General features: G+C 40.7%; 1 protein-coding gene across 1 annotated transcript in view; it reads right to left on the reverse strand.

Moving 5' to 3' along the window:
• The window catches only part of HEATR1 (HEAT repeat containing 1), a 55,512-nt gene that overhangs the window by 7,521 nt on the left and 32,363 nt on the right, over positions 1-15,628 (reverse strand). The window contains exons 27-37 of the mRNA NM_018072.6: positions 15,043-15,161; positions 14,826-14,947; positions 12,471-12,599; positions 10,121-10,351; positions 9,394-9,520; positions 7,973-8,136; positions 4,700-4,746; positions 3,189-3,312; positions 2,470-2,610; positions 1,712-2,004; positions 670-820 (exon numbers count right to left, since the gene is read on the reverse strand). Coding sequence (NP_060542.4) covers positions 670-820; positions 1,712-2,004; positions 2,470-2,610; positions 3,189-3,312; positions 4,700-4,746; positions 7,973-8,136; positions 9,394-9,520; positions 10,121-10,351; positions 12,471-12,599; positions 14,826-14,947; positions 15,043-15,161 — 1,648 coding nt within the window. The remainder of the gene's footprint in view (positions 1-669; positions 821-1,711; positions 2,005-2,469; positions 2,611-3,188; positions 3,313-4,699; positions 4,747-7,972; positions 8,137-9,393; positions 9,521-10,120; positions 10,352-12,470; positions 12,600-14,825; positions 14,948-15,042; positions 15,162-15,628) is intronic.

The following is a 15,628-nucleotide window of genomic DNA, read 5'->3' on the forward strand; positions in this document are numbered from 1 at the left end:
CAGGAATGCAAGGGACCACGGCAAGAGTCAAGTTGCTAAAAAACTGAGAAAGCTCCTCAGAGCACAGGCCCCTTTCTCTGAGAAGGCTACTTTTAAACCCTGGCTGTGGTGTAAGTGAAGCGGTTTAATCATTTGCCCCATGGTAATGAAGGCTCCTAACCTTGTAAATGGCAAATGATCAACACAATGGAACAGCCAGGTCTCAACATTCTTGAGCATCTTCAATCATAAATACCACTGGCCCCTAGCGTGTTGACAGGAAACCGCTGACGTGCAATACAAAAATTCTGCTTTGCAAGATGCCTTAGGATTATACCTCTCACAGTAGAAACAGGGCCCATCAATTTCCACAAGTAATAAAAGGCGGCTCTACCAGCCCAACTCCAAAGATCTCACAGAAGAAAAAAAAGCCAGAATACATTCCGCACAATTAAAGAAGAGAAGCATCTCGCTAAAAAGTGACCCCCATATCAATTTCAAGATTAAGTGGCAAGGATGATGGAAGAGAAAAAGTACACATTTAATAAAAGCAAGCACATCTCTTCAGAAATAAGACTCCTTTCTGTCAAACGGAAACTAACCCTTAAAGAAAAAACAAAATCACTACATTTGTGATCTTTTACCTTCCCCAGCCACCCTGCGTAGCATGTCGTGGCTATCGTGGCTCACCTGGGAGAGAATGCCTTCCAGATAGGGGCTGATGAAGTGCGGGAGAGTCTCCACAACCTTCTGCAGAGCAGCCAAGGCACTGAGCAGGTAGACCTCGCTGGAGACCAGCTCGCTGGTGTTCTTCATTGTTGTCAGCAACGATGGCATCAGGCTAGAAACAAAGTAAGAGCTTTAGAAGAACTTGAAGCAGAAACAGAGGCTAGGGAATGGAGTAGAGGGCATTATGAAAAAAACCAGCAAACTGTGCCTATTACATCGCTATCTGCTTCATAGCCTAAAAAGCAGTGTCTATACATTTTATGTGGCTAAGCACAAGAAATCTCCCAGTGCTAACAGTACGGACACAACAGTAATTTAAAAAATAACAATGTCTTTCATTAACTGAACACTTACTATGTGTCAGGCACTATGCAAAACTCCTTGCAAGCACTGCCCTACAGAAATCCTATGAGGTAGATACTGTCTCTGTTTTATAGACAGCAAAGCTCTAACAGGTTAAGGAACATACTGGCTGTACAGTAAGGAACTACCACAGCCAGGAGCTTCTAACTTCCAAATTTGGCAGCAGAAGGCAGCTTTGGCCTTGCCTAACTGGGTGGGCCCCTCTGCCAAGAACCTTCACCCACTGCTTTTTGACTATACTAGACAAAAGGAAGGAAGAATGGAGGACGATTAACACTGCAAAGTAGTGCATCTGAAGATAAACGGGAAGGCTGCATCTTTCTGTTTGAAGATTAATTATTTTTATTATTATTTCTTTAAGAGACAGGGTCTCACTCTGTTGCCCAGGCTACAGTGCAGTGGTGCAGTCATAGCTCACTGCAGCCTCAAACTCCTGGGCTCAAACGATCTCCCTGCCTTGGCCTCCCAAAGTGGTGGGATCACAGCCGTGAGCCACCACACCCTGCAAGATCAATTCTTTAACAAATTCCAATTTTATGCAACGTCTACTCAGAGGAAAAAAAAAAAAAGTCACCAAAGTGTTATTTTTCAATGTGTGCCAGGCGGTAACAGCTCCTGTTCCAAGTCTCCGGCCGCATACCTGGGAAGCTGGGGGATGGCCAGCGCCTCCAGGGTGGAGGTCACCTCTGCTATGCACAGCAGCGCGCTTCCCAGGACATTCTTCTCCTCCTTTCTCTCTGGAGCAATCAGTTTCACAGCAGTGTTCAGCACTGGGACAAAAGGATCTGGATTTTCTGCACCAAAATTCTTGCATAAAAGCTTTAAGGTATACAACGCTGTCTGTCTGTTGATTGCTTGTTCTTCTTCCCCTTCCTTTTTCTTACGCTGCACAATGGCCAAAAGGTCTGGAACCAGTTTTAGGAAACGGGTAACCTGAAGGGGACAGCCAGAATCCCCAAATCATTAAAGCTGCAAAAAATGTTTGTCCATTTTCCCATTGTCACAGCTTGAGATTGTCTAAATGGAAATCAGACTCGGGGGTCCTGAGTCACACAGTCATGCTAAGCGATGTGCATGTTCTAGCCAGTGTTTCACTTATACAAAGCACCCACTGATCTGGAGTAAAAGGGACTTAGAACTATGCTAAGGCTAAGGCCACGTAAGCTCTGTAGTAAGCAAGAATTCCACTAGGCTGAAATTCCATTCTAAGAGCTCTTACAACACACATATATTCCCGTTAGAATTAACGTCACATTTTAAAACATGTCATGGTATTATATTCAGAAAATAATATACTTCAATTTGAAATTGTACCACTAGAGAAATTGAAGGGAGTTAAATGCAGCTCTTTGATAAAGCAAAGTACAGTAAATGGGTGTGTCCTGGGTCTTCACTCACTATTGTCTTCTTCCAGGATATATTTTGCTGCAGCTTGTTATTCAAAAGGTCCAGCGCTTTGCGGCGAACAGATGGCAGGGGATTGCCCACCAGCCCTCTGATCACAGGAATGAATGTCTCTGTGGGCAGCAAGGCATTGACCTAAAGAGAAATTTTATATTTAACATGAAAAGAAAAACAAATTAAAAAAAAAACCAACTTCAATTAAGACAGACTGCTGTCCACTGCACACCTCCAGGCACCAGGCACTTCCACACACATTTTCTTATTTAATTCTTAAAATAACCTTTCAGGTAGGCATTACCAACCACACATTATCGAACAAAACAAAAGCCTGATGTCAGGAGGAAGTGCCAAAGGCATGCAGCTAAATGACTGAGCTAGATTTGAATCAGCAATCCTAACTTCGAGGCCAGTGATATGTATGTAATATACTTCATACTTTTATTTTATTCCACTTGAATAAAGTAGAACAGTATATATTATATGACTTAATTATTAAAATATACGAGGTACATGTTCTCATAACTGGTAAGGAAACAATTTTTTCCAGACAAATCTATTTCTAGTCATCAAGAGATTGTTTTCTAAGAAAAATCTGAGCTTCATTATATTCATAAAAGGAATTGCTAAGTTTATTCTTAAAAACTTTACATAATTTCACAATAATTTAAAAAACAGCAACAAAACAGTAATTCCAGGGAGAAATGAACACCTACCTTATCTAACAGGTCGTAAGCTTTACTAAGGAGCGCGCGCCAGAACTTCACGGTGAGTTTGTCTGCGTTCCTTTCCATGGACTGTGCAACTGCACTGATATAGCCGAGAACGGTCTCCAGCAACCTGAAACACAGAGGCTCGCTCAGCAAACGGCAGCTGAAGGCACTCAGAGAACTTGTTCATGTCTACCTTATGCTAAATGTTTCAAGTAGAAAGACGAGTTAAATAATTCTGTACTAAATTATTTCAAAAACTACTCGGAAAGAAAGGAAATGAGGGATTATTGCCATAGACAGAGATCATCAAGAAGTAACTAGGCGCTTCTGTGCAGAAGCATCGACCTCGCTCAGACTCTGTGAGGTGCTGAATAAGCAACAGATGCTGAAAGCGTTTAAGGAACTCACTCATATCTAGCTCATGCTCAGTGGATCTCACTGGGCTGTCCAAGTGGGGTGTTCAGGGAGTTATGGCCCTAGGTTAATGGCAGGTGTGTGCGCGCACACACACACAGGCACACACACGCACACATACACATGCACACACACCATACACCATTTATATAAAGAGAAATATTAATAGAAATGAACATATAACCCACTTCTTTCACATTATTAGGAGACAAAAAAAAAAGACTACAAACTTCAAATAACTTGTAATTAGAAAAGCACACACCAAATTCCAACACAGCTGCCACTGGAGATCCCCCCACTGCTGCCAGCCTGAGGGGGGAGCTAGAGGGAAGAGTGGAGACAGAAGTTGACACCGCACAGCAGAGGAGGGGAGAAGGGGGCGCAGACAAAATCAGCTCCAAAAACGAAAGTCCTACGCATAGCGCTACAAGTCAGCCCACAGGACTGGAACTCAGCAGCTCACATTCCTGGCTGCAGGGCAGGCACTTTCCAGTGGAAGGGGCAGGACAGTGGCCCTGGGAATGCCATGCATCTGAAAAGGAGGTACACAGCAAGGCCAGGAGGCAAACCCCGAGGACATGGGAGAGAAAGGAAAATTCCTGCACCCAAATATATAATGGCAGCATATGGATTAGAATCCACAGAATAAAGAATTCATGAGCCCATAGAAATCAGGGCCAGATTAAGACACTAAACAGATACTGCAACTCAATACAATACACAGACTTGACATGGATCATGATGCAGAAACACATGCGGTGTAAAGGAGAGTGTTGGGATAATTAGGGAGACTGGAGTATGAACTGTAGATTACATCACTGGATTGGATCAATGTTAAATTTTCTGAATTTGATCAATGTACTGTGGTTTTATAAGAACATCTCTTATTCTTAGAGACATAATGTATATGATTTACTTTCAAATGGCTCAGAGAAAAAACCCTACATAGGGAGAACGCTAAGGCAAATGTGGCAGAAAGTATTATCAAATGGTGAACCTGGTTGTAAAGAGTATATGAATTTTCTGTACTGTTTTTCCAGGTTTTCTATAAGTTTGAAGTCATTTCCAAATAAAAAGTAGAAAAAGAAAAGGAAACATACCTCTCTTCAAGGCCTTTTAAAATCTCAGGACCACCACTCTCAACTACCTAATTTTTAAAGAAGACGTCATTAGAACGGTAGGGAAGTCAATAATAAAAGTCATTTCAAGTCAGTTCAATGAAACTCGGACCATTCACTGAAACCTTCCACAGCAACTGTTTTCTGACATTACAATTTAATCAGGTTCATATCATCTTCATTATACTGTAGTAACTCTATTTCTCTTAATTTATTTTAATTACATTCTACTGGTAGTATCTAAAAAGTACTACAATGGTTCAGAAAAATACAGCAATCAACACTCAATTAGCACTACCGAATTCTATGACATGCTGAGCTGGTGAGCTCACATATCCTTTGTTGAGAAGTTAAACATTACAGATTCAGCTGGAATCCCCCAAGTACTGCTCCTTGGTCCTATTCTCCCTCTACCCCAAGCCCCACAAACAAAACCATCATCCCAAATCTGCTTCCAAATGTTTCAAACACTACATATCACGGAACAACATGTTTTTCTGGAAACATATTTTTGAGATCTATGCATGGTGACTTATGTTCTAGTTCCTTCATTTTAACTGCATATGATATTCCTCTATAAATACCACTTATCTATCCATTTGCCTCTGTTGTTAGATGTTTAGTTTATGTCCATTTTTTCCCCTTTTACTAATAATGCTAGAGAAGAACATTTTTATGTCCCTTTGATCATCTTGGGAAGTTTTTACAGCATATATACCTAAGGAAGGGAATGACCAGATCACAGGAATTACTGGAACTTTCAACCTCATGGGATCCTGCCAATTGCTTTCTAAAGTGGTTGGAACAATCACACTGTCTGCCACTACGTACCCAATCCCTGGTACTAACGACTTCAACAGTTTTGCCAATTTGATGGGTATCACATTTAATCACATTTCCTGCTTACTGGAGGCTAAATGACATTGTACATTAACTGGCCATCTGTAATTCCTCTTCAGTGAATTCATATTCTTTGCCAGTTGTTCTAATGGAAACTGAGGCTTTTTGATTTATGCAGAGCAATAATCTTCTCTCAGCCTGTGGCTTTCTATTGAATCAAAATTTTAAAGGAATTCTTTCCTATCCTCCAGTCACAATCATGTTCTCCTTGATTTTCTTCTAAACATTTGAACTGTTGTTTTTTACAATGAAGTTTTTACTCTGACTAAAGTTGTCTTTTCTACAAGGTGTGACATCAGACTTTTCCCCAAATGGGAAACAAATCATGCCAGGGCCAGCACTTGGACCATTCTCTCCCCCAACTGCTTTGTAAAATCACCTGCTGCACCTCTTACCTATGCCTGCATGTGTTTCTGGGCCTACTGTTCAGTCACATTGATCCATCTGATTACTCCTGCACCATACCACTGTCCTTGGCCCCTTACAGTTTGGTATCAATGTATCAATATCATTTCTTAAAATGATATAATTGAAAAAGCACACTGAGTTTCTAGACCAATCTGGGCAGATCTGCCACCTTTAAATAGTGAGGCTTCTTCATGCGTAAACACAGTGTCTCTCTATTTCTTCCAAGTTTTCTTCTGTGTCCCTTCATATCTTGCACATTTCCCCTGTAATATTTGTGCACATATTTTTGTCAGGCTTATTCTTGGTACCTTATAAGTTTATGTTTGTATTATACAGGAAATCTTTTTTTCTACTCTGTTTTCTAATTTGAGGAATAACAATATTATATAACAGTGGTGAGACTAATTAGTTCAGCCAGCCTGCTTGATACAGATCACAACCTACACTGATCTCTAGATAGTGTCTACACTGATCTCTCTTAAGCAAGCTTACTGAACTCATTATTAGTTCTAATTGCTGATTCTCTTCTTTCCTGATTCTTACACTTCATTTCTTTTCCTGAATAGAAACAATGACAGAGGAGATTCTTGTCCCTGACTGTAGCAGGCACACCATTAATATTTCATCATTAGGTATGATATAAACCACAAGCTTCAGATTGTCACCTTTATTAGGCCAAAGTAATTCCCATCTATCCTGCACTGCTGAGAGGAGTTTTTTCCTTTTTTTTATTTTTTTTATTTTTTCAGACAGAATCTCGCTCTGTCACCCAGGTTGGTGGAATGCATTGGCTCGATCTTGGCTCACTGCAAGCTATGCCTCCCGGGTTCACGCCATTCTCCTTCCTCAGCCTCCCGAGTAGCTGGGACTACAGGCGCCCACCACCACGCCCGGCTAATTTTTTGTATTTTTTAGTAGAGACCATGTTAGCCAGGATGGTCTCGATCTCCTGACCTCATGATCCGCCCGCCTCGGCCTCCCAAAGTGCTGGGATTACAGGTGTGAGCGAGGATTTTTCTCTCTTAAGTTGTGAATAAGCATTGAGTCTGCTGAATTATTTCACTGTGAAATGTAAAATGATCATATGGTTTCCCTTCTTCATCTGTTAACGCATTATAGGACCTAATGGACTTTACAGTACTCTAATGTCAAACCATTTTTGTATTCCTGGTCGTATTCCTTTCTTTCCTTCCTTTTCTCTCATTGTTTAAACAAGTTTAATACACAAACAGAGATGTATACAAATCATACATGCAGAACTCACTATATCCAGGTAAAGAAAGGCTGGGCATGATGGCTCATGCCTGTAATCCCAGCACTATGGGAACTCGAGTTGGGAGGATCGCTTGAGGCCAGGAATTTGACATCAGCCTGGGTAATAGAGCGAGACCCTGTCTCTATAAAAAAAGTTTTAAAATTAGCCAGATGTAGGTGGCACACGCCTGTAGTCCCAGCTACTTGGGAGGCTGAGGCAAGAGGATTGCTTGAGCCCAGGAGTTTCAGGTTGCAGTGAGCCATGATTGCTCTACTGCACTTCAGCCTGGGACATGGAGTGAGACCTGTCTCAAAAAATAAAATAAAATACAGGCAATTTATCTACTCTGCTGGTAGACACTGGAGTTGTTACCAGTTTTGTGCTACCATGAAGAATGTTATGAATATTATAAAGATTCTTGTAGTTTTTTTGGTGTACAGGTTCATAAACTTCTGATGGGTACACAACACTTAAGAATGAAACCACTGAGTCACAGAGTTTACATTATGTTCCATCTCAGTAGATCATGACGAACGGCTTTTCATGGTGAAACGTACTTTCTTGTTCTATTATCTTTAAAGGCGTGCCTCCCATTTTCATGAGCCATTTACCAAGCTACTTCTACTGGTTGAGAACAGTTCCTTGGAGACAGCAGAATACCTTTTTATAAACACATTTAAAGAACACATTACCTTTTTCAGAAAATTATTGGAAGACAGGAGCTGAGACATGAAGGACACTGACAAAAATTTAAAATGCCGCAGTTGCTTGCTAGTGTGAGTCTCTACATTAAAAACCTGTAGCATTTCTTCTTGTGATTCACTCTTATTAAATGACACTGCTTTGGGAATGGTTTCTGAAACAGCAATAAAACAAGTGACCTTACTCATTTTCACCTGAATCCTTCATACAGAATTAACAGATATAACCTTTCAAGTAAAGGACAATTAACGGGATAACATTTTCCCAGAGAAATGTGTTCATCTATTACATCCAGTTTCTCCTCTTCTAAATTAGTGAAAAACGTGAGTGTATTTGCCAAGAAAGTACCCAGTGGCCCTGAGAAGCGAGTGTTTAAGACAAAAAACAAAACAGGGAAACTGGACAATCAAATGGAAGAAACCACATCACGGAAGGAGTCTCTGAACTTCCAACTGCAGGTGTAGATTTCTTTATTCAATGTGTCTAATGTAAATGGGGTTGGCAGTGCAGTGTTAAAAACCACTAGCCTATAGAATGACTTACTGCTAAGACACTTCCTTACCCACATCACCACATATACCACATACACCACATACTGTCCAGGGACCTCCCTCGTCTGTCCCTGCCAAACCTGAGCTGACTGCAGGATGGGACAAGTTACTGCCTCGCCAAACAGGGATGACAGGGCCAATGGCTGGCCACGCAGAAAACAGTCTCTGCGGAGCTCTTAGAGTACCTTCCTTCTAACGTGCCTTGTCGTTCTGCTTCGAATTGTAGAGAACTAAGAACTATCAACACGTCAACCCTTTCTTAATGAAAAAAAGTTTTTTTTAGAGATGGCGTCTTACTATGTTGCTCAGGCTGGTCTTGAACTGCGCTAAAGTGATCCTCCTGTCTCATTCTCCTGGGTAGCTGGGACCACAGGCTAACACCATCACACCTGGCTTCATCAACCCTTTCCTAAGCCAGCCTCAGTGGTGCTGCGGTTCGTGGGATTTTCTTCAAGGCTCTGCTGCATGGTACAATTTTAATATTTTGCTGCCACTCCTGTGGTACCTACTTTTTTTCTTTTCATGTAAATGTCTTCAGATATTTTAATGAGAAGCTGAGAGACAGCTAATGAGGTCCTGATCATTTACTGTCATTTGAACCTAACTCATCCTGGATACCAGCAACATTCCACAGCCAAGACGTCAGCGCAGAGCACAGAGGTATAAAAGACAATGTGTGAGGAATGGCAAATGGAATTCCGACTATTTTCCATAAGGATTCAAGAAACTACACAATCAAATTAAAATGATTAACTTACTTTAAAAATCCTTCTGAAGATGTACTAAGGATAACCTGCATTCTCTTCTGTTTCTCTTTAGCTTTCAGATTGAACAGTAAGTGACACCCGATCTACGCTTACCTTCTTTTTCCTCTGGCAGCTTTAGTAAGTACTGGAGGATATTCATCAAGCTTTGTATCTGATGCTGGACACTAAACTCACAACAGACTGAAAACCAAAATTCAGTGTCTGCTTCTAAAATAGCATCCTGTGTAGAAAAAGAAAAAGGTAACAAATCTGTACTTAGGAATTGTGAAGGCATAATTTCAGGATAATGTGCGTTAGGATTTCTAGCAGAACAGAGTATACTACTTTATTTAGAGTGGGTCGAGATCTACTCCCAGATCCCATGTCTAAGAAGTCATTTAAAAATGGTCCTCGACTTATCCAAACAGGGCTTTATCCAAACAATCACCTGTGTTTGTGTCTTACTGACTTCAGGGACACGGACGCTCCTCTATTTCCCCACAAACTGCCTTCAAAACCGCTTTGAAGAGACACTGTTTCATTACTCTTCAGCCATACTCTGCTGGGCTTAAAAGAGAACCACTTGCGTGGCACCAGAACTGTTTCTCAGAAAAGTTAATTCGCCTTCAGATGTTTTGCTGCAACTGAGGATATTCAGAGTGCTATGGGCTCTGAATGCAATTTTTTAAAATGCCAAAAACCTTTTTGAAAAAGGTTCTGAGCAAAAAGGTTCTAAATAACACACATTAGGCATCATCAGCCCCATGTTTAAACTGGACAATATCATAAAATCTGTGTGAGAAATCACCATTTTCCTTATCTTCCCACCCTAGGTTCTGACCTTTTCGCCATAGGCAGCCGCCAGCACTGTTTTTGTGACATACTGTTCAAAAAGCAAGATGAGGAGAATCCAGAGGAATTTCTCTGCACCCAGTGTATCAACAAGTTGAACAAGGATGGGCAGGCGCCTGTGCTCCGGGACGTGTGGCAGCGCATCCACAAATACACTAATGATTTTTACCACAATCTCTTCAACGTTTCTTGAAACTTCTATAGAATCTCCACTATCAGACTGCAAAACAGCAAGCAGAGACAATGAGTAGGTGCAAGTAATCTTCCACAAAACAAGTTTAGGTGAACAAGATAAGGCTTTTAGATGGGCCCCAAGAAATTGCCAGAAGAATTTTATTTATTTTTTTAGAGACAGGGTCTTTCTCCATGGCCCAGGCTGAAGTGCAGTGATGTGATCATATCTCACCGCAGCCTGGATCTCCTGAGCTCAAAGAGATCCTCCTGCCCCAGCCTCCGAAGAAGCTGGGACATCCCAGGACCCCACCACCACTTTTTAAAAATTTTTGTAGAGACGGGGTTTTGCTATGTTGACCGGGCTGTTCTCAAACTCCTGGCCTCAAATAATCCCACCTCAGCCTCCCAAAGTGCTGGTGTTACAGGTGCATGCCACCACACTCAGCCACAAGAGTTTTAATAATCAAAGGCCTAACAATAAATATTCAGTAAGTACCTGTCATGTCCCAAGCGCTACTTAGCCCCAAGGGGAATACAAAGTGTACGATATGAGCCCTGCCCCAAAGGAGATTTATTTTCTGTATGAAACAGGATACATGGCTGGGCGCAGTGGCTCACGCCTGTAATCCCAACACTTTGGGAGGCCAAGCTGGGCAGATCACCTAAGGTCAGGAGTTCAAGACCAGCCAGGCCAACATGGTTAAACCCATCTCTACTAAAAATACAAAATTAGCCGGGCGTGGTGGTGCGTGCCTGTAGTCCCAGCTACTCAGGAGGCTGAGGCAGGAGAATCACTTGAAACCAGGAGGCAGAGGTCGCAGTGACCCAAGATCATGCCATTGCACTCTAGCCTGGGCAACAAGAGCAAAACTCTGTCTCAAACAAACAAAAGAAACAATACATGTGTGAAAAGATAACAGGAGGCAGTAATGGCACATGCCAAATATGTGACACTGATAGCAAGTCTGCTTAGACTGCCTGGGAAGGCTGCACAAATCACACAGGATTTGGGTTGTGCCTCAAGAAGAATGAAGATAAGCAGAGCACAGAAAAGGCCAACAACTTCCTGCTGCTTTCAGAATAAAGTTTGAACCATTTTACTCCAGGTATTGGTGATCAAAATATAGTTGTTGAATAAATGACAGAAAGAATGACAGAAAACACTTGAATGAATGAATAAACCAATGTCTACCTGTCTCAACCCTCTGCTCTCCATCAATCAATCACCATTACATTCTTCAAACATGCTGTGCACATTCCTAGATCATGCCTTTTCTCATACTATTGGCTCTGCCATCACTGAACAAATCCCATCCTTCTTTCACACCGGTACAAATTCTATTTCTTATAGAACTTTCTGGTCATCCTGGCCCATATAGACTTTCCCCTATTCTGAACTCTTTAGCATTTACTTATTCGACTGGCACTGATCATATGAATGCATATTATTATTTTTCTTTTTAGGTATATATCCTATACTTGCCAACTTGGTGGACACTGAGAACACCAATCTAATACTAAGGTTAAAAGAAGGTGCTGAATATGGTCATCCCTCAGAGGGTCAATAGCATGAGAAAAGACATTAATTAACAAGTGAAGGGTACATAGACAACTCAAGTAGATGAACAAGCTCTTTTACTCTTGAGGCTACTTTTAACTTTTGAATTGTTCATTCCTTACTGGGAGAGAGAACATCTCACCTCTCTCTCTGAGTTTAGCTCTTAGAGAATGCTTGGTAAACATTTGCTAAACTGCATGTTAACAAATTTGTCACTGTAGCTCTAAAAGTTCCTAGCCTCATCAACATGTAAGAAGGTATTATCAAACTGATGCAATGTCCTGAAATAGATGGTGGATGTCAATTTACCCCACCCGAATGATGTTAAGACACTTACAGTTACACACTCACAGCACAGCAGAACCAGCTATAACACGTTTGTTTATATTATTGAGAAAGACATTGCCAAGACTGCTTCTTAGCTTCAATGTTCTAAAACTTAAGGGCAATGTACTTCAGCATTTCAGAAAGGCTTTTATACAACTGTTGAGGATATTAAAAAAAAAAAACAAAAAAAAAAAACTAAAAAAAAGGCTTTTAATGTCATTTATATGCAAAATTTTTAAATTAAAAAAAGAAACCCCACGATGGTATAAAGAGACCTTACCTGAATAAGTGCGGGAATAACCATTTTCACTGTCTTGTTAATAACTTGAAAACTGTAAGTATCATCTAGGCGCATGACATTGGCTCCCATAAATGTAAAAATAGACATGATATTGTGTAAAACTTTATCCTGAAAGAAAACACAACTATCAACATTTTTTATTTCTGTTAATTTCTACTAATTTTTTTTTCAAGAGATAGCGTCTCGCTCCGTCATTCAGGCTGGGATGCAGTGCAGTTGTGTGATCACAGTTCACTGAAACCTTGGACTCCTAAGCTCAAGCAATCCTTCCACCTCAGCCTCCTGAGTAGCTAGGACTACAGGTGCATGCTACCCTGCCCAGCTAATTTTTTTTCCTTTTCTGTTTTGTAAGGGTGGGGTCTCACTATGTTACCCAGGCTGGTCTTGAACTCCCAGGCTGGTCTTGAACTCCTGGCCACAAGTGATATTCCTGCTCAGGCTAACATTTTCCATTTCAACAATTCATTACAACTCACCAATAAAAAGAGAAATAACCTGATTAAAAAACAGGCAAAGGATTTGAAAAGACATTTCTTCAAAGAAAAAATTCATACGAAAAGAATATAAGCACAAATACTACTTCACACCCACTAGAATGGCGATAAAAAAGACAGTAACAAGTACTGGCAAGGATGTGAAGAAATTGGGAACTTTACAGGCTGCTGGTGGAAGCAAAATGGTGTGGCCACTATGGAAAATAGTCTTGCAAGTTACTCCAAAGCTAAACATAAAATTCCGTGTGACCCAACAATTCCACTCCTAGGTATATATACCCAGGAGATATGAAAACATGTCCACACAAAACCATGTCTACAATATTCATAGCAACATAATTTATAATAGCCCCACAGTTGAAACAACCCAAATGTCCATCAACCGATGAACAGATAAACAAAATGTGGCATACACATACAACAATATTATTCAGTCATAAAAGGAATACGGATTCAAGCTTCAACAAGAATGAACCTCAAAAACATTATGCTAAGCAGCCGGGCACGGTGGCTCACGCCTGTAGTTCCAGCACTTTGGGAGGCCGAGGCGGGCGGATCATGACATCAGGAGATCGAGACCATCCTGGCTAACACGGTGAAACCCCGTCTCTACTAAAAATACAAAAAAATTAGCCGGGCGTGGTGGCGGGTGCCTGTAGTCCTAGCTACTCGGGAGGCGGAGGCAGGAGAATGGCATGAACCCAAGAGGCAGAGCTTGCAGTGAGCTGAGATCGCGCCACTGCACTCCAGCCTCGGCAACAGAGCGAGACTCCGTCTCAAAACAAACAAACAAACAAACAAAAACATTATGCTAAGCAAAAGAAACCAGACACAGAGGGCCACATATTGTATGACTCAATTTATATGACATGTCCAGCATAGGCAGATTGAGAGAGACAGAAAATGGATTACTAGTGGCCAGGAGCAGGGTGGTGGTCATGGTGGTGGTGGTGGTGCTGGTGGTGACGGTGGCAGCGGCAGGGAGGAGGGAGAGGAAGAGTGACAGTTAATGGGTGTAGGGTTTCTTTTCTGGGGTGATGAAAATACTCTTCAAGTAGATCGTGGTGGTGATTACAGAAACTTCGTGAATATACTAAAATCACTTAATTGTATACTTTAAATGGGTGAATTTTATGGCATCTGAACTATATTTCAATAAAAACAGAAAAAATATTAATGATTCTTAACTGTTTCTGGATTATCAACCCCTTTGAGAAGCACAGACTCTCTTACAAGAAAAAAAGAAATCCCATACAGATAAAACTTTGCATATGATTTCAGTAGATTAAGATCCCCTAAAGCTCATGGAGAACCCCAGGTTAAGGAGCTCTGACTCAAATCCTCAATATGAAAATAGCTTCAATCTCTTTACAAATGTTTAAATGATATTTTTCATAAAAGGGACATGATTTCTTTAAATGACATAGTTTATGATCAAATTAATTTTCTGAAGTCACTGGTTAAAGGTTACTTTGAGGATTACTTGAGGATAAATGAGATATTAACTTTTCCCAATTAACACCAATACCTACTGTTTTATTAGATAGATAGTGTGCCAGGTATTATGCTAAGTACTAACCACAAATTATCCAACTGAATTCCCCCAACAATCCAGTGAAGAAGGTTATTATTCCCACTTGATAAAAAGGGAAACCAAAGCTTAGCAAGATCAACTGGCTTATACAGTCCCAGCTATGAAGAGGCAGGGCTGAGAGTCTCACCAGTGCTGGAAGATTCCAAAGCCTAATTGATTAAATTTAAAATCAACAGGTGCCAGTGCATTTCTGTGGAAGAAAAATATCTGAAATATCTGCTAAAATCTTATATCATTAACGCTTACCGGAAATATTCCAGCAACAGTGCCCAAAAGTAAAAGGGCATGGTGATGGGTCTGCGGCATCTCCGAAAGGCGGATGCACTGAACTATCAACTCCACGTTGAACTTCTCCTCATCTAAAATATCTACAATGGTGAGAAAGACAAAAACCCTAAGTGGCAGGTACACTCACGCTCAAAGTAGATAATTTTTCTAACCTTTCCTTCCAAAAAGTACCTACCTTTGGGTATTTTGCCACCATCTGGAGATAGTTTTTGGCAGATGTTGAGCAGACAACTAAGAATTAATTGTTTGGTGTATTCCATATTTCCCTGCTCTTGTGGCAAGGGTTCTAAACATCTTCAGGACACCCAAAAGAGAAATGATGGGAAATGTAAAAGTTGTACAATTCATTGTTACATTAATGGCCATTGTCCAGAACTCATTCAATAAGGAACTCATTCAATAAGGAATAACTAAAATACTATCATTAAACATCAAGTCTAGAAATAAGATATAAGATTTCTAACTCTAATTTTCTCTCATATAGACAGGCGCTATGTCAAATTCCACGTCCTCTCTATTGCACTTTCCATTAGCCTATCTGGAATCTTACAGGACAACCTTCAGAATTACTTTGCCTTTCACATGAAAGCACACGCTACAATTCATACTCAATTTACACACACACATACACAAATCTACGTATATAGAATATATACATCTATATATATGAAAATATATTTAGATAGCAAACACTATATACACACATATCTATATCTATATAAATTCAACACTATATCTTGAAATGCAAGTAATGACGTCCC

The sequence above is a fragment of the Homo sapiens genome, chromosome 1 (assembly GCF_000001405.40).
Source record: "Homo sapiens chromosome 1, GRCh38.p14 Primary Assembly".
Taxonomy (NCBI): domain Eukaryota; kingdom Metazoa; phylum Chordata; class Mammalia; order Primates; family Hominidae; genus Homo; species Homo sapiens.